The following is a 24542-nucleotide window of genomic DNA, read 5'->3' as shown; positions in this document are numbered from 1 at the left end:
TTACTGGAACATAAATAGTTCATTTAATGAAGCTATTTCCCTTCACTCCCTTGTTACTCTGTCAGCACATCAGGTAACTCCACTGCATGTTGCTAGTAAATTTCCCTTTTAATGTATGATTCCTCCTTTTCCTTAGTTTACTAATGACTGATTGACCCAGAAAAAGAAACTTCAGTCCTCTCGTGAAGCCTTTTTAAAAATCAGCAAGCAGCTTCTTAATATTAGAATTTTTTTTTTCAAATGTCAGAAACAAGATAAAATATGAGCTCAGACTCTTCAAAAGGAGAAGGTGGCCGGGGCTCAGTGGCTCACGCCTGTAATCCCAATGCTTTGGGAGGCCGAGGCGGGTGGATCACGAGGTCAGGAGATCGAGACCATCTTGGCCAAAGTGGTGAAACCCCGTCTCTACTAAAATACAAAAAATTAGCCGGGCGTGGTAGTGCATGCCTGTAGTCCCAGCTACTCAGGGGGCTGAGGTAGGTGAATCACTCAAACCCAGGAGGCAGAGATTGCAGTGAGCCAAGATCACGCCACTGCACTCCAGCCTGGCGACAAAATGAGACTCCGTCTCAAAAAAAAAAAAAAAAAAAGAGAAGGTAATATATGTGATAACCAGGTAAGAGTTAGTGTAATTTCTGTAAACTAATTGTGTATTGAATACTCTACTTCATTACTTCATGCTGTTTCTAATATATGTGGAGTGTTAAACTTGGTTTAAGTTTTTTGTTTGAGTGTTGGGAGAAAGAGACATTATTATAAAAATATGTTGTTTTGATTTTGAGGGAGATAAAACCTTTGACAGAGAATAGGATGATTGAATGAAATGAGGTGCTGGAAATTCATTGAATTAGTTTGATTAAAAGAAGATGCACACCTGAAACGTAAACTACAGTACTCGGAACCTTTGGGAAGCACCTGAGGAACAGTGCTGCAGTCTTTAGAAAGTAACTCTGTTTTCATCATATTCTCTGTGGGATTTGTTTGTTTTGGTTTACCTCATCTCATTTGATAATCCACCAGGAAGTTTTACTTACCCTTGAGTTCTTTTTCCTCAAAGTTTAAATGAGGTTAAAATGAGTTAGAGTTAGAGGGAGTGAAGAGAGACGACTGGTATTTTTTGAATGCCTTCGATGTGCCAAGATTATGCCAGGCGCTTTCTTCATAGTAGTCCTGTGGGATAAAAAGTTTATTCCCGTTTTGTAAAAAGTAATTGCTGAAGGTCACATAGCTAATTAGTAGTGCAACCAGACTTTAAAACCCTATCTGTTTAGTACCAGTGTCTGCGTTATTTTCTGTAATGTGCTTCTAAATACATAATTTTGTAGAATCACAGATCTCTAGTATCTTGTAGGGAGTATGGAAGAGAAGATAAGAAAACTACGGAGATTATTCAGTCATTCGTTTCACAGTTATTTTTGTGTACCAGATACTGTTCTAGGTATAAGTGTATCTTCAACCAAACAAGCAAAACAGCTTACATTCTTTTCTATCATTTAAATATTCCATACACTTACAGAAGGAAATTCTTGTTTCTGGTAGGGATTGCAGAGCAATTAGAACAGAATTCCAGGATTTTTTTTTTTTTTTCTTGAGACAGGGTCTGGCTCTGTTGCCCAGGCTGGAGTGCAATGGTGCCATCTCAGCTCACTGCAACCTCTGCCTCCCAGGCTCAAACCATCCTCCCACTTCAGCCTTCCAAGTAGCTGGGATTACAGGCGCACACCACCGTGCCTGGCTAATTTTTGTATTTTTGGTAGAGGTGGGGTTTCACCATGTTGCCCAGGCTGGTCTGGAACTCCTGGATTCAAGCGATCCACCAATCTCAGCCTCCCAAAGTGCTGGGATTACAGGCATAAGCCACCGTGCTTGGCCAGTTCTGGGATATTTTTATTTGCTCTTTCAACTACAAAGAGCAAGATGCTTTGAGTTATGAGTTGATACTCTGTGATACACTTTAGCAGCTATGTGAATGTGTGGCTTACTAAATAACAGCATGTTCTTAAGTGTTTTCTGTGAGACGTTTGGTCAAATAATTTTGGAAAATGCTTGTTTAGCATTTTCTTAACAATAAACAGGTTTCTTTGCTGCAGAACTTCTCAGAGCCCTTCCATGCTTACCATAGACCTTTTTTTCTCCAAGAGCTGTCTATCCCAAATAGTGTTCAGGAGGATATACATTGCTATCTAGATACAGAATGCTATGTCTTCTTCCTTTAGATATATACATTTTAAATTGTTTTCCTGCTCAGAAAGCACACAATTGCCAGTTTTTTAAAGTTTCTTTTATTGAAGACCACCTCAACATTTATAATGGTAAATTTATTAAGCTTTACTTTAGGTACAAAGTTTAAGTATCTGATGACAACAACATATCTAAGGGATTCAAAGGGGTTAGGTTTTCTTTTTGTCATAAGCTATTTCTCCACTTTTCTTGAAGTTGCTAGGTAAAATTATTGTGTTATTTCTGTAGAAATAGGGAGGCAGGCTTGGAATTAACTGATGCTTTGGTTTCTGAAGGTAGGTATTTACTACCCTTGTGTTTTCAGAGGTTCAGACAATTGTCACTGTGTTATTAACCCAAATACTAATTATAAGCTAGCTGTAAGCTGAAGGTTTTTATTCATTATACATTGTCCTTTAAAAGGAACCACATCCCCTCCTTCAGATGAGATGGTAAATTGAAACAGTGCTGCCCAGCCTGGACTTCATTTCTCATCCACAGAGGCTCACTGTTTGAGGCTTTAAAATTTGTACTCTATTTGCCTTGATATGTGGGCACAAGAGAAAAATAGAGAGGGCTGAGAGTCAAGGTTGACCTCATACCAAGAACTAGCCTCCTACGGAGGGAGGTAAACATTAAACTGAAGCATCAGGATAAAGAAACAGTTTATGTTAGGGCCAAAGCACTAACACTATTCCTTGTCTTCCCGGCACCAAGAACACGAAGTAGGCCCTTAATAAATATTTGCTGAATAAGTACTTCCATTGCAACTCAGTATCTATATCCTGAGGTCAGAGATAACTGTAAATTTGGGGGAGTGAGATTTTTTTTTTTTAAGCTGACAGCATTGTCTCTCATTTAATTCTCACAACATTATGAGATACTTTTTCATTTTGCAGATGGGTAAAGGGAAACTTGAGAACATTAGATACTGTGTCCAAAGACTCCTCTCTCATAGCTGTCAGAGCTGGGGTGTGAACCCAAGTTCACTGACTCCTGGTACAGGTCCTTGCAGTTTGGACCAAGTATCCTGTGCTACTAGGTTTCTCTACTTGCCTCTGTAGCGACGACAGATGGGTTTTCTGTGTTAAGACCTCATCCCCAGGATTTTTAATAGTAAATCTTTGACTTACATTGGAAAAAATAAAATCAACATATGATTTCAACTGGGAAATCAGAGCCTCAGGAGAAGTCAATAGTGTTTTCTCTGTGACTTCACAGGAAGTTACCATGGAAATGATTATGGTATTATGAATACAAAATTATAACTTTGACTGGGAAATAAGCTGCCTAAAGAGACAAAATGCTAAGGAATAGCAAAGTTGTTGTTATGAAAGTGGCTTTTAGATTTGAGATGAACACACTTAGCAACATGAAGTCTAAATGCCTGGTCTCCTTTAGCATTCCTGAAACATCAGTGTTAAATTATTCTTTTAACTCTCCCTGGTTTTGTTACTACTTTCAGAACTTGTTGAAAGTAAAATAATTCCCATGTGTGCCTATGTGTTTTTAGTTTGGCAAATATTGTTTTTTACAGATCCTCCCTGCCCTAGCCCCGCTCTAATCCCTTCTTCAAAGTATTCCCAGTGGAGATAAATTGTTTCCTGGTTTTGCATCAACAAATTCCCTGCAGAATAAGTATTCGTCAATTGTTAAAGCCAGCTCTGGCAGTAGATGGAGAGGCCGTGGTGTTTTTCTGATAGAAACTTTAATTCCAAATTTCATTGTTCCTGCTACTTTTCACTAAATTTAATCCTTTTAAAGATGTTAATTTTAAAAATATTGATCGTATATTTTAAATTTTATCATAGAAAAGGTTTTTTTCAAATTGCCAGTAATCAGAAATGGTGACAATACTGTATTATTGTTTGCCATCTTAATTTCTTTATATTTGGAATCCTGTTGTGTTTTTAAAATTTATTTAACTGACATTGTGTCTGACTGGCTCGAGAGCACACTGAAGACTTCTGTTCTCTTACTGCTGTCATTTTACTTTGAAAGGGCCAAGTATTCTAGACAGGGACCTCATAGCTGTTCTGACCCATTAAGCTCTAGAAACTTACCAGTTTACTCATCTCAGTTGGGATGGACTAATTATTCTGGAATCTGATATACCTGTCTCACCAGACTACTCTGGTATCTAAAGTATCTTCCTAATCTGTGATTGGGAAGAGAAGAGTGAATAGCCGTGGAACTTTCTGTTAAGTAGAAAGATTTTTAAATGGTAAAGGGAGCACGTAGTTGAACTGTTCACAAATATATGTGCCAGTGTATCACATAGTAATACATATGATACATATGAAAGATTATGTAAGGTATATGTAAGTTATGAAACTTGTTTTTTTCCTCACATTATGTTTCTGATTCATCCCTGTTGTGAGCTGTGGTTCATTCTTACTGAAGTAAATACTTCTTTTTTCTGAAGTAAATATTTATTTTCTAGTGTTTACTTTGACTCATGGGTTATTTAGAAATGCTTTAAAATTTTCTAACTGTGGAGATTTTATTTTTATATAATTGATTTTTAACTTAATTGCATTGTGATTAACGGGCATGGTCTATATAATACCTATTGTTGGAACTCCATTGAGACTGGTTTTGTGGCTTAACATATAAACAGGTTTTGGAAATATGTATGTGAAAACAGTGTGTACTTTTATTTGGCATTACTACACATGTCCTCTGCATCAAACATATTTTAGAATCTCTGACTATATGATGGGTTCATTAATTTCTTCTGTGTTTTTATTAAATATTGCTCTATACATATTTGAGGCTATTTTAATAGATATTTAAATATATGGAATTAGTATACTTTCCTGTTAAATTTACCGTTGTGTAGGTACTCTCTTTATTCCTTTTTTTTGGATGGAGTCCATTTTAAAATGATACTGATGTAGTACATAACTTTATTTAGGTTCATATTTGCCTGGAATATTTTCTCATGATGTCGATCTTTTATGTCTTTATGTTTTAGGTGTGCCTCTTATAAAGAGCATACTGCTTCATTTTGTTATTGTTTTAAAATACATTATAATATCTAATTTTTAACTGGTAGATTAATTTACATGTGTCGTGCTTGCTGAATGTTTGATGTTGTTACTGTCACCTTACCTTAATATTTTATTTATATTTGTCACACCTTTTTATCCATTTCGCTTTCTCTTTTATTGTCTTTCTTTTTAAATTGTTTGAATTTTGTTTGTTTTCTTATTCCCAGTGGATTGGAAGCTGTGACAGAACCTCCTAGCTGCTCTCAAAAATGTATTAGTCTCCTCTGTTATTTATTTATTTTTTTTTTTTTGCGCATTCACTAAGCCACATTTTCCAGGACCATTTGCTGTTATACATACTGTGTGACTGAGATCTAACCAGTGGGATGTGAACAGAAGTGACTTTTACCATGTTGGGGCCAAGGCTTTTAGGGAGTGCTTGGACCTCATCCATGCCCCTTTTCACTTCTGCTCTCTGGATGCACAAGATTATAAGACCCTAATGGTTGGTGAAGCCACAAGATGGTAAGAACCCGAGTCTTTGAACGTCTGTGTAGAGGAAAACCACCTGCCAACCAAACATTAGACTGTTATGAGAATGATGTGTTAAGCCACTGAAATCTGGGGGTTTGTAACAGCAGCTAATGTTTTTCTAAACGTAGAAATTGTACACTGTTTTTATTAGTTTATGGGTACCTTTGAAATTGTCCATGCATACCCAGCAGTCTAAACCTGATATTAAATGCCTCCCAAATACCATGAGGATCTTCAAATACAACTCCAGTTGCTTCTCTCCTACTTTACATGCTGCCCTTTTAAAACCCTAGACTTTATTATTGTATTATTGATTGTTTAGGTTTGCCACTATTTTACCAATTTATTTGCTTCCTTTTCCTTCTTACAACTCAGACCTGCTTTCTAGAAGTATTGTCCTTAAAGTATTCCTTTAGAAGCTCCAGTGGGCAAAATCCTGCTGGTAATAAATCCTCTCAGTTTTTATCTTTCTACACAGGTCATTATTTTTCTCTTGTTCTTGTTTTAAGTCTAGACTGATGTATTTTCTCTCAGCACTTTAAAGATATTTCCACAAACCATTGGCCTCTATTGTTTCCGTTGAAGTCTGTTTTCAGCCTAATTGTTATTTCTTTGTTAGATTCTCTTTTTTCTCTTGTAAAGTCTTCTCTTTGTCTTTGATGTTCTGCAATTTTATGATAATATGTCTAGGTGTAATTTCTTTTTATTTATTCTCTTTAGTAATCGTTTTGCTTAATATACTTATGTATACATGTGTAAAGATTTATACAAATTAGATGCTCTAAAAAAGTTCATTTGATGTATTTCCATAGAGAATGCATTATTTCTAATAATGTAAATATGTTTCAAAATATACAAATCAGGATGCATGTATTAATACATATATACTATATTTAGCATAATATAAAAAGCAAAAACAAGTATATGTATTTTGTGGACATTCACAAATGTGTATATTTTAAAGTATACATTTATATTGACTAGTCCTATGGAAAATTACAGCATATTAAGCATGAAGAATCTGCTGATTTAACACTCTATTTGTAGACTGTTTGCAGTACAGAAGGAGAACACTAATATTAATATAACTGGGGATGTTAAAAGTATTCATTGTGCCAGTATGCTAAGAATTAGGCCTTCATTTGTGGTTTAAAGTGTTGAAAGCCACAGTAACCTGAAAACCAATTTGTGATTATGGAAAGCAAATGAAGATGGAGACAGAGGACCTTGTTTCAGATGTTTCCATAAGGCAATTTGCCTTTTTCTCCAACTCACAAATATTGCCAGAAAGCCTGGAAAATCTCATTAGATGCAATAATTTGGACCAATTGATTTTTCTTAAAGCACAATAGTATTATGAAGCCTTTACATTTCTACATTTAAAGGAGAACATTCTAATTTTGAGGGGTCACTTTGTATTTGGCAGTCTGAGCAAGTGTATGAACCACAGTTTTCTTATACAGCAAAGAAAACAGTTGAAACTTTGTGTATTTTATCTTGATCAGAGTCTTATTATAATCTGGAGTCCACTTTTAGTAGTATTTTAAAGGGATATAATATAATATTATTCTAACCAAAAAGCGCTGAAGAAATTTCATCATTTATTAGTTGTAGTAGTATCAGGTCTTTGAATTTGTGATTTTATAAAAAAAAGTGTCAGTAAGTTTATACTTATGAAAGGGTTATTACATCATTCTGTACACAATTTGTTTTATAAGACATATAACAACAAACACAATTATTCTAAGGTGGGCTTTTTTTTTTTTTTTGAGACAGAGTCTTGCTTTTGTCGCCCAGGCTGGAGTACAGTGGCGCAATCTTGGCTCACTGTAACGTCTGCCTCCTGGGTTCAAGCGATTCTCCTGCCTCAGCCTCCTGAGTAGCTGGGATTACAGGGGCACCACCACGACTGGCTAATTTTTGTGTTTTTAGTAGAGACGGGGTTTCACAATGTTGGCCAGGCTGGTTTTTGAACTCCTGACCTCAGGTGATCCACCTGCCCTGGCCTTCCAAAGTGCTGGGATTACAGTCGTAAGCCTCTGCGCCCTGCTGGGTGGGCTTTTTTATAAGTAAAAATAAAAGTTATAGAATTGGCTGGGCGTGGTGCCTCATGTCTATAATCCTAGCACTTTGGGTGGCTGAGGCACGTGGATCACCTGAGGTCAGGAGCTCAAGAGCGGACTAGCCAACATGGTGAAACCCCATCTTTACTAAAAATACAAAAATTAGACATGGTAGCAGGCACCTGTAATCCCAGCTACTCGGGAGGCTGAGGCAGGATAATTGCTTGAACCCAGGAGGTGGAAGTTGTAGTGAGCTGAGATAGTGCCACTGCTCTCCAGCCTGGATGAAAGAGTGAGACAATGTCTCAAAAAATAATAATAATAAATTAAAGTAATAGAATTAAGGATGACCTTTTCTGTTACTTTTTTGAGTGCTTTTTTATTCATTATTTTTTAAATAGGCAAAACTAATTAACAGACTTAAAAATAGAGATTAACATGTCTTATTGGATAAAACTAAAGCAATAATAGACCTACTTCATAGATTAAGTTATAGGGTTTAAGGTGATATAGTAAAGGAACAGCTTATTAAAATGAAACATAGGGCCAGGAGCTTTCTGTAATGGTAGAGCAAGTAATTTGGATTAACATTCCTGATGAAGGAGACTAGAAAAGCAAGATAAAGTATAAAAAAGTCTGCTTGGAGGCATTGGAGAGGTTATAACATAGTAAAGAATTATGGGTCCAAAATTGGGAAGAAAGGAAGTCCAGCTTCTAATTTTCTCATGCCCTGAAATTAGATTAAGGTGATTCTACAGTACTAGTCCCACAAGATCTGGCGGGAACAAGTTTAAATTCCCTGGAAGAATATGTTAATAATATCCTAGTTCTCAAATTACTTCTACTAACAGTTTTGCAAAAGCAGTAGCACACCATAAAAAATATAGTACATCGTTACCTAACATTGTCTATAGGTTCTCAGAAACTGATTTTAAGTGAAATGACACATATAGCAGGTCCTTGAATAACATTGTTTTGTTCAATGTGTTTCATTGTAATGTTGATAAGAAAAAATTGGCTTAATTTTATGGTGTTTTACTTAAAGCCACAGTTTCCAAGAACCTGTTGATGATGTTAAGTGAGGACTTACTGTAAACACACACTTGAAGTAGGAAGAAAATATCAGCAAAAACTAGGGAAACAATAGCAATAGAAAAAAATACATTAAAGCTTCATAGATTGGCATTATAGAAATAGACTTTATAATTATTGTGTTCGCTGGGCGTGGTGGCTCACTCCTGTAATCTCAACACTTTGGGAGGCCAAAGGTGAGTGGGTCACCTGAGGTCAGGAGTTCTAGACCAGCCTGGCCAACATGGCAAAAACCTGTCTCTACTAAAAATATAAAAATTACCTGGTCATAATGGTGCACACCTGTAAACTGAACTGGGGAGGTGGAGGTTGCAGTGAGCCGAGATTGCACCACTGCACTCCAGCCTGGGCAACAAAGTGAGACTCTGTCTAAAAAAAATTAAAAGAATAAAAATAAAATAATTGTGCTTACTGTTTTCAAGCAAAGACAAAAATTCAAGAGAACTTGTGAGTATAAAAGACAACAGTGCAAATTCTAGAACTGCACATTATTATAACCAAAATAAACAACTCACTACATAGGTTTATAACAAATCAGATACAACTAAAGAAAAGATTAACACACTGAAAAAGAGCTGAAAGAAAATATGTAAAAGAAAATATGGAGAAGAAAAGGACTGGAAAATATAGAAGAAAGGTTAAGAGACCTAAAGGATATGGTACGAGATTTCTAAATACTTGTAAATGGAATCTCAGAAGTAGATGAGCACTAAAGTGGAGCACCGCAGTATTTGAATAGAAAATGGCTGGGAACTTTGTAACACTGATAAATAACTTCTATTTACAAACTCAAGAAATCCTGTGAACTCCAAGAATGATAAATAAAAAAGAAACTCATACCTAGACATATCACTGTAATGCTAATAAAAGCAGAAACAAAGATAAAATCTTGAAAGCAACCAGAGTGGGGGGAAAAAGACAAATTTTCCTAGGAGGTATAATTATAACCAGTAGTAGTAGCTGACTTCTTAGAAGAAACAGTAGCCAGCAGAAGGCAATGGAACAACATCTTTAATATCTAGAAAGTAAATAGTTGTCAACCTGGAGTTCTATACCCAACAACCATATTCTTCAAGTATGAGAGTGAAATAAAGACATTTTCAGCCAAACTGGAAAATTTTGATACCAACAAACAGACTTTAGCTAAAGGAAATGTTAAAGTATGTTATTTAGGCAGGATAAAAATTATCTCAGATGAAAGATCAAAAATGCAACTATAAATGTGACTGTGTGGAAAAATCTAAATACCTAATGACCATACAAAACAACATCAATGTCTTCTTGGGTTTTAAAATATATGTATGAGAGTTAAAACATATGATAAATAGTCTTTTGAAAAGGTGCTCAATGTCATTTGTTACAGATGAGAGACAAAACCACTATACCCACAAAGTGTGGCAGAGATGTGAGGCAGCAGGATCATGCAGCTGGTAGGGAACATGCATTGATACAATCACTTTGGGAGACTGGTACAACAGTTTATGAAATGCATACCCTATGATCTAGCAGTTTCACTCCTTAGAATACACTTAACAGAAATGCAAACAACAGACACATTCAAGAACATTCATAATAGCATCATTCATAATAACTAACACCTGGAAAGAGCTCAAGTGTTCACCAAGATTAGATGGATAAAATGTTTTATATTTGTATAGTGGAATAGTATGCTTCAATGAAAAGTAATAAACTGACACACGTAATCATATGGATAAATTTCACAAATATAATATAGATCAAAAGAAGCCAGACACAAAAGAATACAGCCTGCATGATCCATTTAAATAACATTTTAAAAGGCAAAACAAAACCAGAGTGTCTAAGGATGCATACTTAGGCAAAAGCCATGATTGTGGTTGCATTTTGGGAAAGGGAGAGGGTAGTTACTAGTAAGGTCATAAGGCACACTTCTAGGTTCTGGCAAACTCTGTGTCTTGTCCTGGTGGTTGTTCCATGAGTGTTTCCCTTTGTGACAAATACTTGAACTGCACATCTTGGTTTTGTGCAGTTTTATATGCTTTATTTTATAGTACAAAAAGCCTAAAACAGACACTCATGCAATTTTAGTACTGTCTAGAAAAATTTTTAGATGACGACTACCTGAACTTCATACACTCTGAGTATGTGTCTCTGTCTCTGTTTTCTAAAAAAAATGTTGGGATGTTCTCTTGGTAGTTTTCCAGCATATTTCATGCTGACTACGAAGGTAGTAGGCTAGCCCCTTTTTACAAGTCTGGCACAAACATGAAAAAAAGACTCTATCCTTGAGATTGTCTTAGTACAGCTGAGAAAAGACTTTACCAAATATCTAAGGAGGGAAAAAGCAGGAAAAGAATACCAGTAACAGTAACAAAGAAACATAAACCTGAAACAGTCCCTTTTGTTCAGATTTTGAAGTTAACAGCTAATTTATTCCCAAGGCTCGTAGACTCTATCTGTTTTCATCACTGAGTGTTAACTTCTAAATAGAAAACTCATATTCAGTTGCAGTTCCCAGGCTGAGGGACCTTTCCTTCAGGTGACTGGCAGAGCTATGTGGTGAGACCTTACCTCCTTATTATACATAGTGAGTGATGTGTTCCCTGACAGGACCTGCACTGTAATAATTACTCAGCCATTACAATAAGCCGTAGCATCCTTAGTAACGGGGTAAATGTCTATTTATTTGTCCTAGAGGGAACAATTTTGGAATGACAGTTTTAACTTGCAGACTTAATATCTGTATATACTGAAGTAAAACATAACAGCCCTGGAATAGCTGCAGGCACTTATTTATGTTTAAAAGAATAAATATCCCCCAAATAACTCTCTGGGGGTGGAGTCCTTGTGCATTGTCTGTTGGAAGCTAACACATCTGCAGCTTTTCTGCTGAAAGTTAAAATTTAAACCTAAACTTACCTGGGGGAAGGAGGAGAAAAGGAAAAGGAGCTAACATTCATTCATTCATTCACTATTTCCATAGGTTATTGGGGAATGGATGGTGTTTGGTTACATAAGTGAGTTCTTTAGTGGTGATTTGTGAGATTTTGGACACCCATCACTTGGGCAGTATGCACTGAGCTCTATTTGTGGTCTATTATCCCTCACTCCCTTCCCACTCTTTCCCCCTGAGTCCCCAAAGTCCATTGTGTCATTCTTATGCCTTTGAATCCTCATAGCTTAGCTCCCACTTATAAGTGAGAACATACAATGTTTGGTTTTTCATTCCTGAGTTACTTCACTTAGAATAATAGTATCCAGTCTCATCCAGGTTGCTGCAAATGCCATTAATTTATTCCTTTTTATGGCTGAGTAGTATTCCATCATATATATATATATCACATATATATGATATATATATAAAAGAAACATATCACATATATATGATATATATATCACATCTATATGATATATATATCACATCTATATGATATATATATCACATATATATCATATATATATAAAAGAAACATATATGTATATATATATGAAACAGCTTCTTTATCCATTTGTTGATGGCTATTTGGGTTGGTTTCACGTTTTTGCAATTGCGAATTGTGCTGCTGTAAACGTGTGTTCAAGTATCTTTTTCATATAATGACTTCTTTTCCTTTGGGTAGATACCCAGTAGTGGGATTGCTGGATCAAATGGTAATTCTACTTTTAGTTCTTTAAGGAATCTCCACGCTGTTTTCCATAGTGGTTGTACTAGTTTACATTCCCATCAGCAGTGTAGAAGTGTTCCTTGTTCACTGCAGCCATGCCAGCATCTACTATTTTTTGATTTTTTGATTGTGGCCATTCTTGCAGGAATAAGGTGGTATCGCATTATGGTTTTCATTTGCATTTCCCTGATCATTAGTGATGTTCAGCATTTTTTTCATATGTTTGTTGGCCATTTGTATATCTTCTTTTGCGAACTGTCTATTCATGTTTGCATTTCCCTGATCATTAGTGATGTTCAGCATTTTTTTCATATGTTTGTTGGCCATTTGTATATCTTCTTTTGCGAACTGTCTATTCATGTCCTGAGCCCACTTTTTGATGAGATTGTTTTTTTCTTGTTGATTTGTTTGAGTTCATTGTAGATTCTGGATATTAGTCCTTTGTCAGATGTATAGACTGTGAAGATTTTCTCCCACTCTGTGGGTTGTCTGTTTACTCTGCTGACTGTTTCTTTTGCTGTGCAAAAGCTCTTTAGTATAATTAAGTCCCAGCTATTTAATCTTTGTTTTTATGGTATTTGCTTTTGGGTTCTTGGTCATGAAATCCTTGCCTAAGCCAATGTCTAGAAGGGTTTTTTTTCCAGTGTTATCTTCAAGAATTTTTATAGTTTCACATCTTAGATTTAAGTCCTTAATCCATCTTGAGTTGATTTGTGTATAAGGTGAGAGGTGAGGATCCATTTTCATTCTCCTACCTGTGGCCAGCCAATTATCACAGCACCATTTGTTGAAAAAGGCTTTTCTCCCCCACTTTGTTTTTGTTTGCCTTGTCGAAGATCAGTTGGCTATAAGGATTTGGGTTTATTTCTGGGTTCTCTATTCTGTTCCATTGGTCTATGTGGCTATTTTTATACCAGTACCATGCTATTGTGGTGACTATGGCTTTAGTATAGTTTGAAGTCAGGTAATGTGATGCCTCCAGATTTGTTCTTTTTGCTTAGTCTTGCTTTGGCTTTATTGGTTCTTTTTTGGTTCCACATGAATTATAGAATTGTTTTTTCTAATTCCTCAAAGAATAATGATGGTATTTTGATGGGGATTGCATTGAATTTGTAGATTGCTTTTGGCTGTATGGTCATTTTCACAATATTGATTCTACTCAGTCATGAGCATGGGATGTGTTTCCATTTGTTTGTGTCATCTATGATTTCTTTTAGCAGCGTTTTGTAGTTTCCCTGGTAGAGGTCTTTCACTTCCTTGGTTAGGTATATTCCTAAGGTTTTTTTTTTTTTTTTTGCAGCTATTGTAAAAGGGATTGAGTTCTTGATTTGATTATCAGCTGGGTCGCTGTTGGTATATAGAAGAGCTACTGATCTGCGTACATTAATTTTGTATGTTGAAGAGGAGTGGTGACGGTGGGCATCCTTGTCTTGTTCCAGTTCTCAGAGGGAATTATTTCAACTTTTCCCCATTTAGTATTATGTTGGCTGTGGGTTTGTCATAGATGGCTTTTATTACATTGAGGTATGTCCCTTGTAAGGCAATTTTGCCCAGAGTTTTAATCGTAAAGGGATGCTGGATTTTGTCGAATGCTTTTTCTGCATCTATTGAGATGATGATGTGATTTTTGTTTTTAATTCTGTTTATGTGGTGTATCACATTTATTGACTTGTGTGTGTTAAACCATACCTGCATCCCTTTTATGAAACCCACTTGATCATGGTGGATTATCTTCTTGATATGTTGTTGGATTTGGTTAGCTAGTCCTTTGTTAAGGATTTTAGCATCTGTGTTCATCAGGGATATTGGTCTGTAGTTTTCTTTTTTGGTTATATCCTTTCCTGGTTTTGGTATTAGGGTGATGCTGGCTTCATAGAATGATTTAGGGAGGGTTCCCTCTTTCTCTGTCTTGCGGAATAGTGTCAATAGGACTGGGATCAATTCTTCTTTGAATGTCTGGTAGAATTCTGCTGTGAATCCATCTGGTACTGGACTTTTTTTTTTTTGGTAATTTTAAAATGACCATTTCAGTCTCTCTGCTTGTTATTTGTCTGTTCAGGGTATCTAATTCTTCCTGATTAAGCTAGGAGGGTTGTATCTCTCTAGAAATTTATCCATCTCCTCTAGGTTTTCTAGTTTATGCATGTAAAGGTGTTCATAGTAACCTCGAATGATCTTTTGTATTTCTGTGTTGTCAGTTGTAATGTCTCTCGTTTTGTTTCTTATTGAGCTTATTTGGATTTTCTCTCTTCTTTTCTTTGTTAATCTTGCTAATGGTCTATCAATTTGATTTATCTTTTCAAAGAACCAGCTTTTTGTTTCATTTATCTTTTGTATTTTTTGTTTGTTTCAATTTCATTTGCTTCTGCTCTGATCTTGGTTATTTCCTTTCTTTTGCTGGGTTCAGGTTTGGTTTGTTCTTGTTTCTCCGGTTCCTTGAGGTGTGACCTTAGAATGTCTGTGCTGTTTCAGACTTTTTGATGTAGGCGTTTAGGGCTATGAACTTTCCTCTTGGCACTGCCTTTTGCTGTGTCCCATAGGTTTTGATAGTTTGTGTCACTATTGTCACTCAGTTAGAATAATTTTTAAATTTTCATCTTGATTTCATTTTTGACCCAATGATTCAGGAGCAGGTTATTTAATTTCCATGTATTTGCATGGTTTTGAAGGTTCCTTTTGGAGTTGATTTCCAGTTTTATTCCACTGTGGTCTGAGAGAGTGCTTGATATAATTTCATTTGAAAAGGAGGTAACATTTATTGAGTGTAGTAGACTTGAGTAGCATTAGGTGCTTTTCATACTTGATCTCCCTTCAGCCTTACAACCCTTGAATGAAGAAATTAAACTTTGGGGATTCGAGCAACTTGCCCAAGAGCACGCAGCTAACCAGCAGTGGGTCAGAAATAGGAGCCCACGCCTGCCTGGTCCCAAAGCTTGTCTTTTCCTATGCACCCAACTTTCTCTAACAGCATAGGCCACCACTGGTTTTATTTTTAACCTGTGGTATTGCACTGATAGCCGTGGCAACAGAAACTTTATGATTTGAAAGATCTGTAGAGGAGTCCTGGGGAGAGGAAAGCAACAGTGTACCTGCTTTCTTTTCACATGTAGTTCTTTCCTGCCCTGGCATGGATCTTGTTCTGGCTTTTCACCTCCAGAGCTGTGATGAGGAGTAAGAAAACTCATGCTAACCTACCATGACTTCTGCCAGTCTTGGCCCCATGTGGGACTGGTCAAAATAGAATACCAGATATTTTTTAAAAAGTGTTTTAATGGGACTAAAATAACAGCAAAATGTCAGCACGAGGTGCTGCCTGCTTTATGACATAGTTGACTAATTGCAGATAGTTTTTTCTGAATTTAAGTGTTTTGGGAAATGGTATTGTGTTTGCTTATTGTGGTAAATATTCACTTTTGCATCAACGGAAATAGAATTGTGAGAACCACAATGTGCTTCATTTTAGACATTTACAAAAGCTTCTACTTGAACTGACAAGAATCTCTTCAGAATAACTATTTAAGCCCAAACTATCTTTTTTCTACAAGAATGAGACAGTTAAATTGTATCCCTGGAAGTTTTCATTTTCTTTTTTTCTTCTTGTTGTTTTTTGCTTTTGCACTATATTTATCTTTTTGAAGAGGTTGAGGTAACTACATAATTCCATTGAAAAAGTCAGTTACAAGTGGTACATTGATAAACTATTTTCTTAGTGACGCAACCACCAAAATATTATAGAAGAGAAGAGCATGTGTTTAACACTCCTTGCTGAAAGCTTGAAGCACACGCACCAAATTGATAGAGGGAGTATGGAAGAAATTATTTTGCCAATTTTGGCCACTTCTGCATAAAGCTTTTCATTTAGAATTTATTGAACTGCCGTATACAGGTTGAAATTGTTACATAAGCCAGAAAGCTTTAAAGATTTTGAGTGTGTCGATGTTTTTACATGTGGGCTTTTTTCCTGTCAGATTTTCAGTGAATTACAACGATCACAAGTACATTTTCATTAGCTTTTATACTGTAAATAAGGGGAGGGTTTCAGAAATAATTAGAGAAAAGCAGTGTATCGTTTCTTAATGGTTATAGTATTAGAGTAACAAGCTGTATACAGGGCCTTTCGGTTTTACAGTTAGGTTTTGCTTCAACCTTCCAGCAGTCCAGGGTGCACAGAGCTGCCTGGATTTGTGGACACTATTGTTTACAGTGAGAGTGATGAAGGAAATGTAAAGATTGTGTGGTTGTTAGTATGAAGTAGGAATTTGCACTAGTACTATGTATCTTTGCTGCATTAGTATTTCACTTTAAGAATGAATGGGCCACGGGAAAGTTGTTTTTCACCAATCATGCCTTTTGGTCAAAGATTCTGTATGAGTTTCCTAGGGGTGCTGTAACAAATTACCAAAAACTTTGTAGATTAAAACAACAGAAATTTATTCTCTCTCAGTTCTGGAGGCTGGAAGTCTGAAATCAAGGTGTTAGCAGGGCCATGCACTCTCTGAAGGCTCTAGGAAGAATCCCTTCTTCTTTCTTCCTAGTTTTCGGTGGTTGCCAGCAGTCCTTGGCATTCCTAGGCTTGTGCCTGCATCATTTCGTCTGCCTCTCACCACCCAGCCTTCTTCACTCTGATGTCTCTGTGTTTTCACATGGCCTTCATCAGGCATTGGATTTAGGGTCCACACAAATCCAGCATGACCTCATTTTAACTTTGCGGATTCCATCTGCGAAGACCCTAGACCCTATTTCTAATAAGGCTGCATTCTGAGGTACCAGCTAGATATGAATTTGCAGGGGGATGGACAACGTGTTGTTCAACCCAACACAAACAATATCCTCCCTGTTTGTTCCAAAGCACACTTACTTCCTTTTACTGGTAACTTTTTACATCTGACATTAGCTTGCTGAACTAATTTATAGATTGCAGTTGCCTGGTCAGATAATTTGTCTTTAATCAGACTTTTATTACTTTGTTGTTATTGGAGATTATTCTAGTGAAAAAGGGAATAAGCTTAAAAAGTTGCTTGTCAACTACACACACACACACACACACACACACACACACACACACACACACACACACAGAAATTCGTTGTAAAGAAAATATACTGTAGTCTGGGTGTGATGGCTCATGCCTGTAATCCCAGCACTTTGGGAGACTGAGTCAGGATTGCTTGAGCCCAAGAGTTTGAGACTAGCTTGGGTAATATAGAGACCCCATCTCCACAAAAAGTTAAAAAATTAGCCAAGCATGGTGACGTGCATCTTAGTCTCAGCTACTCAGAAGGCTTGAGATGGGAGGATCACTTGAGCCTGGGAGGCTGCAATGAGCCAAGATTACACCACTGCGCTCTAGCCTGGGTGACACGGTGAGACCCTGTTTCAATCAGTCAGCACATACATACATATATACGTGTGTACACTATATAAGCAAGCTAATTTAAATCTTTTAACCAGAAACTAGGAAAAGAGTTGCAGGTTGCTCTAATAATTTAAGAGTTAGCAAAAAGAGTATTTTTGTGTAAAATAGAAGCCTTGAGGTTTTAAAGAGAATCTTTTCTTTTTTTCTTTTTCATTTTTTTTTTTTTGCGATGGAGCCTCGCTCTGTCCCCAGGCTGGAGTGCAGTGGTGCCATCTTCGCTCACTGCAAGCCCCGCCTCCTGGCTTCGCACCATTCTCCTGCCTCAGCCTCCCAAGTAGCTGGGACCACAGTCACCCGCCACCACGCCCCGCTAATTTTTTTTTTTTTTGTATTTTTAGTAGAGATGGGGTTTCACCGTGTTAGCCAGGATGGTCTCGATCTCCTGACCTCGTGATCCGCCTGCCTCAGCCTCCCAAAGTGCTGGGATTACAGGCATGAGCCACCACGCCCGGATCTTAATATGACTTGTAATGGGGATGGTGCTATAAACTGAACTTAAAGGAGAGATTCCTTATTGATATGATGGGAATCTCTCCTTTAAGTTCAGTTTATTTTCTTGACTTTTAATAGTCAAAATGTTTGTATCTGTAGAAATTTTATTGCTAACATTGGTATTTTCTAAAACAACATAAGTCAACTTAAAGGGTCCTTTTATAATAGTGTAATTCTATTTTTTGCACCTGAAGGAACAGGATGTTTTATAATGGAATCAGAAAGAAAATAGGGGATTTGATAGAAATAAGTGTTTTATAGTTAGTCTCTGAGAAATAATACCAGTTTTATAAAGTGGGATACCTATACTGCCCAAATAAATTCGTTTTTTTTTTAACTTTTAAGTTCATGGGTACATGTGCAGTATGTGCGGGTTACATAGGTAAACATGTGTCATGGGGTTTGTTATACAGATTATTTCATTGCCCCCAAAATTTGTTAACAATAAGTCCAGGCATTTTCCAGCTACCACTCTCCTTAAAGCTACCATACTCTCTATTTAGAAAATAGGGCAGTCATCGCTCTTGCTGGAGAAGTTATCATTCCTTTACTTGCACTAATTTTTCTATATAACCTGCAGATCTTTAAATCTTTCATCTAGGTGACACTCTTTCCTTACTAGTCAAATAAAATGACTCCAGTCCCCATCACATGTATTTTGGGAGGTCTACTGTCCTAAGTGTTTCTGAGGATTCCTGGGGAGGAAGCAGGCGGTGGAGAGTGTATGGGTGAAGGTATGTGCGAATAAGCTTATGACAGGCACTTTTCTGGTCTCTAGTCTTGGAATCCTGCCTCCCCATTTGATTCTTGATTACGCTGTGTAGTTCTCTCCACCCATGATTGCTGCCCCCTCTCGGATCTCATTGCCTCAAGCAGAGAAAATTTCCCTCTCCTTCATTTCTCAAAGCTTTATTTACCCAAAGCTGTTATTAGCACAGACTCTTCTGAAGACTGGGGAGTAAAGGAGGTGGAATTAGAACATAGTTCAAGTTCCTATGGGTCTGAAAACCTCCTCAGGCTTGTGGCTGTGACTGTAGTCAGCTTATCTCCCTCCACTCCCAACCTGAAACTACACCCACTTTCTCGGTACCCTAGGCCTTCACCTTTCTTTATCTCACTTTCCTATCCATGCCAGCTTTGTGGGTGTAGCAGTTAGTTATCCCTTTTCAACAACTAAAATACTTCCTTAAAAGAAAAGAATAATGCTCCCTGTGAGTAATGTTTTGTGGGTTTTTTGTTTGTTTGTTTGTTTTGTTTTTTCTGGGCAGCTAAAGAGATCAGCTCAGACTGCAGCTCACTTGCAAAATTTTAGAATTCTTCCCTTTTCCTTGCTATGTCTAGTATTCATCAATTGTGTGAGGCTTGTAGCGGCAGGCTATCACTGCCTCCCACCGCTGTTTCTCTCTTGGCTGTTCTCCCTGCATTCAGGTGTGGGATCCCAGATTGCAGAGGCCGTATCTGCCTTGTTCATTCATTTTATCCTCAATGTTTAGCACAGTGCTTGGCATGTGGTAGGGACCTAATAAATATTTGTGGGATGATTGAACAAAATGAAAGAACAACAGTTTTTAGGTAACTATCTTAATATATAGGGAAGGAAATCTTGACACTCCTATTAAACCTTGTCCTTTTCCACTGGAAACTCCATTCTAGGAAGCAGATAACCCCTGATCACACTTGCAGGACGTCTGGAATGAGGAGGCTTTTATCCTCGTGGTCCTGTAACTTCACTATTTGAAAACTAAGGTGAGGGACCTAGAGTTGGAATCAGGAAATAAAACCGTTTATCTCACAGACAATCCCTTGCAAGTGTAATCTTGCCCACTGCTGTCTGTTTTCTACTGCTTAGTCCAGTTTAGGTTTAGGTGATGCTAATCAAGATATGATTTAGATTGTACACCCTAGAGTGCAGACTTTGTTTTGGCATATTCTATTCTTAGCCAGTGTGCAAAAAATAAATAAATAAATACCCCAAAACAAAACTTTCTTACCTCAGATAATTAGGAAGTCAGGAATCTTTTCTCTACCAGCCTTCCTCATCCTGTGATTGGCATCTCCTTTTTAGTGGCTCATAGTTAATTAGTGGTCTCCGTGGATTGAATTTAAAGGTCCTTAGGTTTAGCTCTCTTCAGAATACTATTACATTGTTAAATTTGGCTCAAAAGGAAAGGAATAGCTATCCTCCTGTGAGACTCAGGGAAGTGAAGGAGCTTGCAATGAAGTGAAGCCACCTGGATGCAAGCCCGGGTCTGACTGACTTCACAGCCCATGTTGGTTACATGTGCTTCATGGCCCTGCCATCTGGCTTTCTAGAATCTTCAAGTGTGGAAGCTGAGATCTATTTGGATGTGTGCACGTGTGATGTGCTCTGGTATTGCTGATAAAGCTAAAAACACCTTAAAATTTAGAGGTGAAAAAGCACATTGGCCAAAGCAGTCAGTAGATAATTTCTTCTGAAAATGCAGACATCCCGCAAGAGATCTCCTGCCGTACCAAATGGATTTCAGAAGTAGGGGATGTCGGTTCACAGTAAGCCTGCCGGTGGGAGTGCCCTGAGGTCTGGTACCTTCAGAGCAGTCCATGCATTCATGTGAGTGAATTTGCATTAGTCCTCAAAGATTGTTTGTGAACACCTTCCAGCCTCCTTACTGCTACATCCCAGGTAACAGATTTAGGCAAAAGAATGACATAAGCTATTACTGCTTTAAAAAACAAACAAAACTTCCTGTTAGCCCTGCTCATGGAGACAGTCTGTCAGCTTTATCTTTGTAGTCTCATAAACTTCATGATTTTATAGAAATAAAAAGTCTCTTTCCTACATTTCTAGTATTTTAGCAAAGGCTTCCAACAAGCAGTCGTGTCCTAACACATTTGCTTCTTGTTGACTTTTTTTTTCCAGTTTTTTTTGTTCTGTTTTGTTTTGTTTTTTTTTTTTTAAAGAGACAGCATCTCACTCTGTTGCTCAGGCTGCAGTGCGGTGGCACAGCCATAGCTCACTGTAGCATGGAACTCCTAGGCTCAAGCAGTCCTCCCACCACAGTCCCTCAAGTAGCTGAGACTACAGTTGTACACCACCACACCCAGCTAATTAAAAAAAAATTGTTTTGGCTGGGCATGGTGGCTCACGTCTGTAATCCCAGCACTTTGGGAAGCTGAGGCAGGTGGATCACCTGAGGTTAGGAGTTCGAGACCAGCCTGGCCAACATGGTGAAACCCTGTCTCTACTAAAAATACAAAAATTAGCTGGGCATGGTGGCAAGTGCTTGTAATCCCAGCTACTCGGGAGGCTGAGCCAGGAGAATCACTTGAACCCGGGAGGCGGAGGTTGCAGTGAGCCAGGATCACGCCATTGAACTCCAGCCTGGGGACAAGAGCGAGACTTTGTCTGAGACGAAGTCTTGCTCTGTTGCCCAGGCTAGAGGGCAGTGATGCAATCTCGGCTCTTTGCAACCTCTGCCTCCTGGGTTCAAGCAATCTCCCAGCCTCAGCCTCCCTAGTAGTTGAGATTACAGGTGCCTTCCACCATGCCTGGCTAATTTTTGTAGTAGAGATGGAGTTTCGCCATGTTGGCGAGGCTGGTCTCGAACTCCTGACCTCAGGTGATCCTCCCACCTTAGACTCCCAAACTGCTGGGATTACAGGCATGAACCACCATGCCCGCACCCCGCCCCAACTCCCTGCCCTGCTATGTTGCTCAGCCGGGTCTCAAACCCCTAGCCTCAAGCAGTCCTTCCACTTCAGTCTTCCTTTAGTAGTTTTGGGAAGTCTTCAACTTCAGTAGTTTTGGCAAAACTAAAACTACTAAAAACCACCTTTCTCCTTTTTTTTTTGGTTGGAAGAAAGCAGTTCTTTACCTACTAACTTATCTATTTTGTGGTGTAATCTCTTCAAGGAAACAGAGTAAATTATTCTCATATCTGGATAGTCAGTGTATCGTTCTTTACACTTGAACACTTTGCCTCCTGTAAGTTTTCTTGCAATAAAGCCTGCTATGAAGAGAGGGAAGAAAGGAGAGGGGAATCATTAACAGTGAAACCAGCCATATTTCCCGTAAGCCTTTTATAAGTCATATTAGAGCAAGGTTGGATCTGAAATCCCCAAATTAGTCTGTGATAGAGACTAATAAAATGTCTCTTTTACTTTAGTCTGTAGAAGTTGGTTTATGTTACCTTAGTTTCTATACCCTCAAAACCTTCATCATAATATTTGTAAGAAGTTTTAAATTTTCTAGGCAATTAAGAAATTAAGAATGCTTTGAAAAGAAAAAATATATTGGCATTCTTAATTATATATGTGCTGAAACACATGAATTGTATTACACTCTGTTATCATGCACAAGCAACTGCTCAGTGATTTTTGGGTCACCCTCCTTTGTGAGTGTATTTTACCTGATTCGCATATAAAAGTCAGCTATTTTTAGCAAATCAGTTGCAGTAATGTATTATCTTTTCATTTATAGAGTAAAACACAAATAACTTTAAAATTATTAATTTGATTGCATTGAATCAAGGATATGTGGTCTAAGTATGGCAACTGCATATTTGGATTTTCTGGAATAGTCCCCATTTCAAATATTCTATTCCATTCTTCCACTTAAGTCACAAAATCTCCATTTATTTCTGCAACAAAAATTGAGTGCCTACTATGTGCTGGGCATAGCTCCAGACCCTGAAGATACAGCAGTAAATAAAACAAATATGGTTTCTCTCTTCATTTCGGTGGGAGAGACAAATAAAAACTCAAAGAGGTGTCTAATAGAATATCATATGTTAGATGGATATGTGATGGACTGTAAGGACTATGAAGAGAAATAAAGCAGGATAAGGGGATTTACATAGTGGTGGGCACATAAATAACAGAACATTTTTGTCAGGCCAGTATCCACTCTTCTCTGGCATCATAATCTTAGAAGAGTTCCAAAGGAGTAAAGGAGATAATGGATTTTAACAATTGGGCAAGATAAGGAATTAAATTGACATGAATGTATTAATTATCCACATAAAGTAGATGAAGGAGTGTTGGGAGGATTTTTACACACTCAGGTATCATCATCATGATGCCTCAGATTTTGGGGACCTGAAAGATTTTATTAACCTTCAGGAGTGAGGACTTAAAAGGCTTTCCCAGGGCTGGCGCGGTGGCTCACGCCTGTAATCCTAGCACTTTGGGAGGCTGAGGCGGGTGGATCATGAGGTCAGGAGATCGAGACCATCCTGGCCAACATGGTGAAACCCCGTCTCTACAAAAAATACAAAAATTAGCTGGGTATGGTGGCATGAGCCTGTAGTCCCAGCTAGTCAGGAGGCTGAGGCAGGAGAATCGCTTGAACCTGGAAGGCGGAGGTTGCAGTGAATTGAGGTGGCACCACTGCACTCCAGCCTGGGCAACAGAGCAAGACTCTGTCTCAAAAAAAAAAAAAAAAAAAAAAAGGCTTTCCCAAGGTGAGTGTTGGCTAAAAGAATTTTGGGTATGAGACATCAGATTAGGAGGAATGAGAAGCTGAGGTACCAAATAAGGGAGGAGAAAAACAGGATAAATTACACAGAAAGGCTATTATTTTCAGCACGGCTCACTGTATAGTATGTCTAAGAACATTCGAATTTTATATGTGGTTTTTCTGTGTCTGGGTTAGGCTACATTTCAGATTTCATCTATTTTACTAAGAAAAGAATACAGCATCCTCTGGTCCCTAGAGCGAATTTGTGAGTAAAGAGAAAAGAAAGGGTTGCTGGCAGGTGAAACCCTTCAAACCCTTCGTCCGGCTAGTGCTGAGAATGCTAATAGGTGCTCAAGATTTCTAAGGATATTTAACAATATTTTCTTATTTGTTTATGTTAGAGTTAAAAAGCCTAAAGAATAAGTGTCTAAAAGTGGTGGGTTTACTTTTTTTGTTGTTTATATTGAAGTTTATGAAGTTGAAGAATAAGTGAGTTTGTTTCAAGTACACAGTAATCTGATATAAATATAATTTTTTTTAACGATTTCACAGTGTCTATGAAGTGCTTTTACTGAATATTATTTACTTAAGTAGGCAACAACCAAAGACCAAACCAATTAAATAAAAACAAAAAACAAGCGGGTAGGGGAA

The 24542-nt window shown here is 37.6% G+C and overlaps 1 protein-coding gene across 1 annotated transcript in view; it reads left to right on the top strand.

Annotated features, from left to right (window-relative positions):
• SH3RF1 (SH3 domain containing ring finger 1) overlaps positions 1-24542 on the top strand; it is a 176698-nt gene that overhangs the window by 65816 nt on the left and 86340 nt on the right. The window lies entirely within an intron of this gene.

This window comes from Homo sapiens, chromosome 4 (genome assembly GCF_000001405.40).
Source record: "Homo sapiens chromosome 4, GRCh38.p14 Primary Assembly".
NCBI lineage: Eukaryota > Metazoa > Chordata > Mammalia > Primates > Hominidae > Homo > Homo sapiens.
Note: the sequence above shows the minus strand (reverse complement) of the source record. Positions and strands in the feature narration are given on the sequence as shown.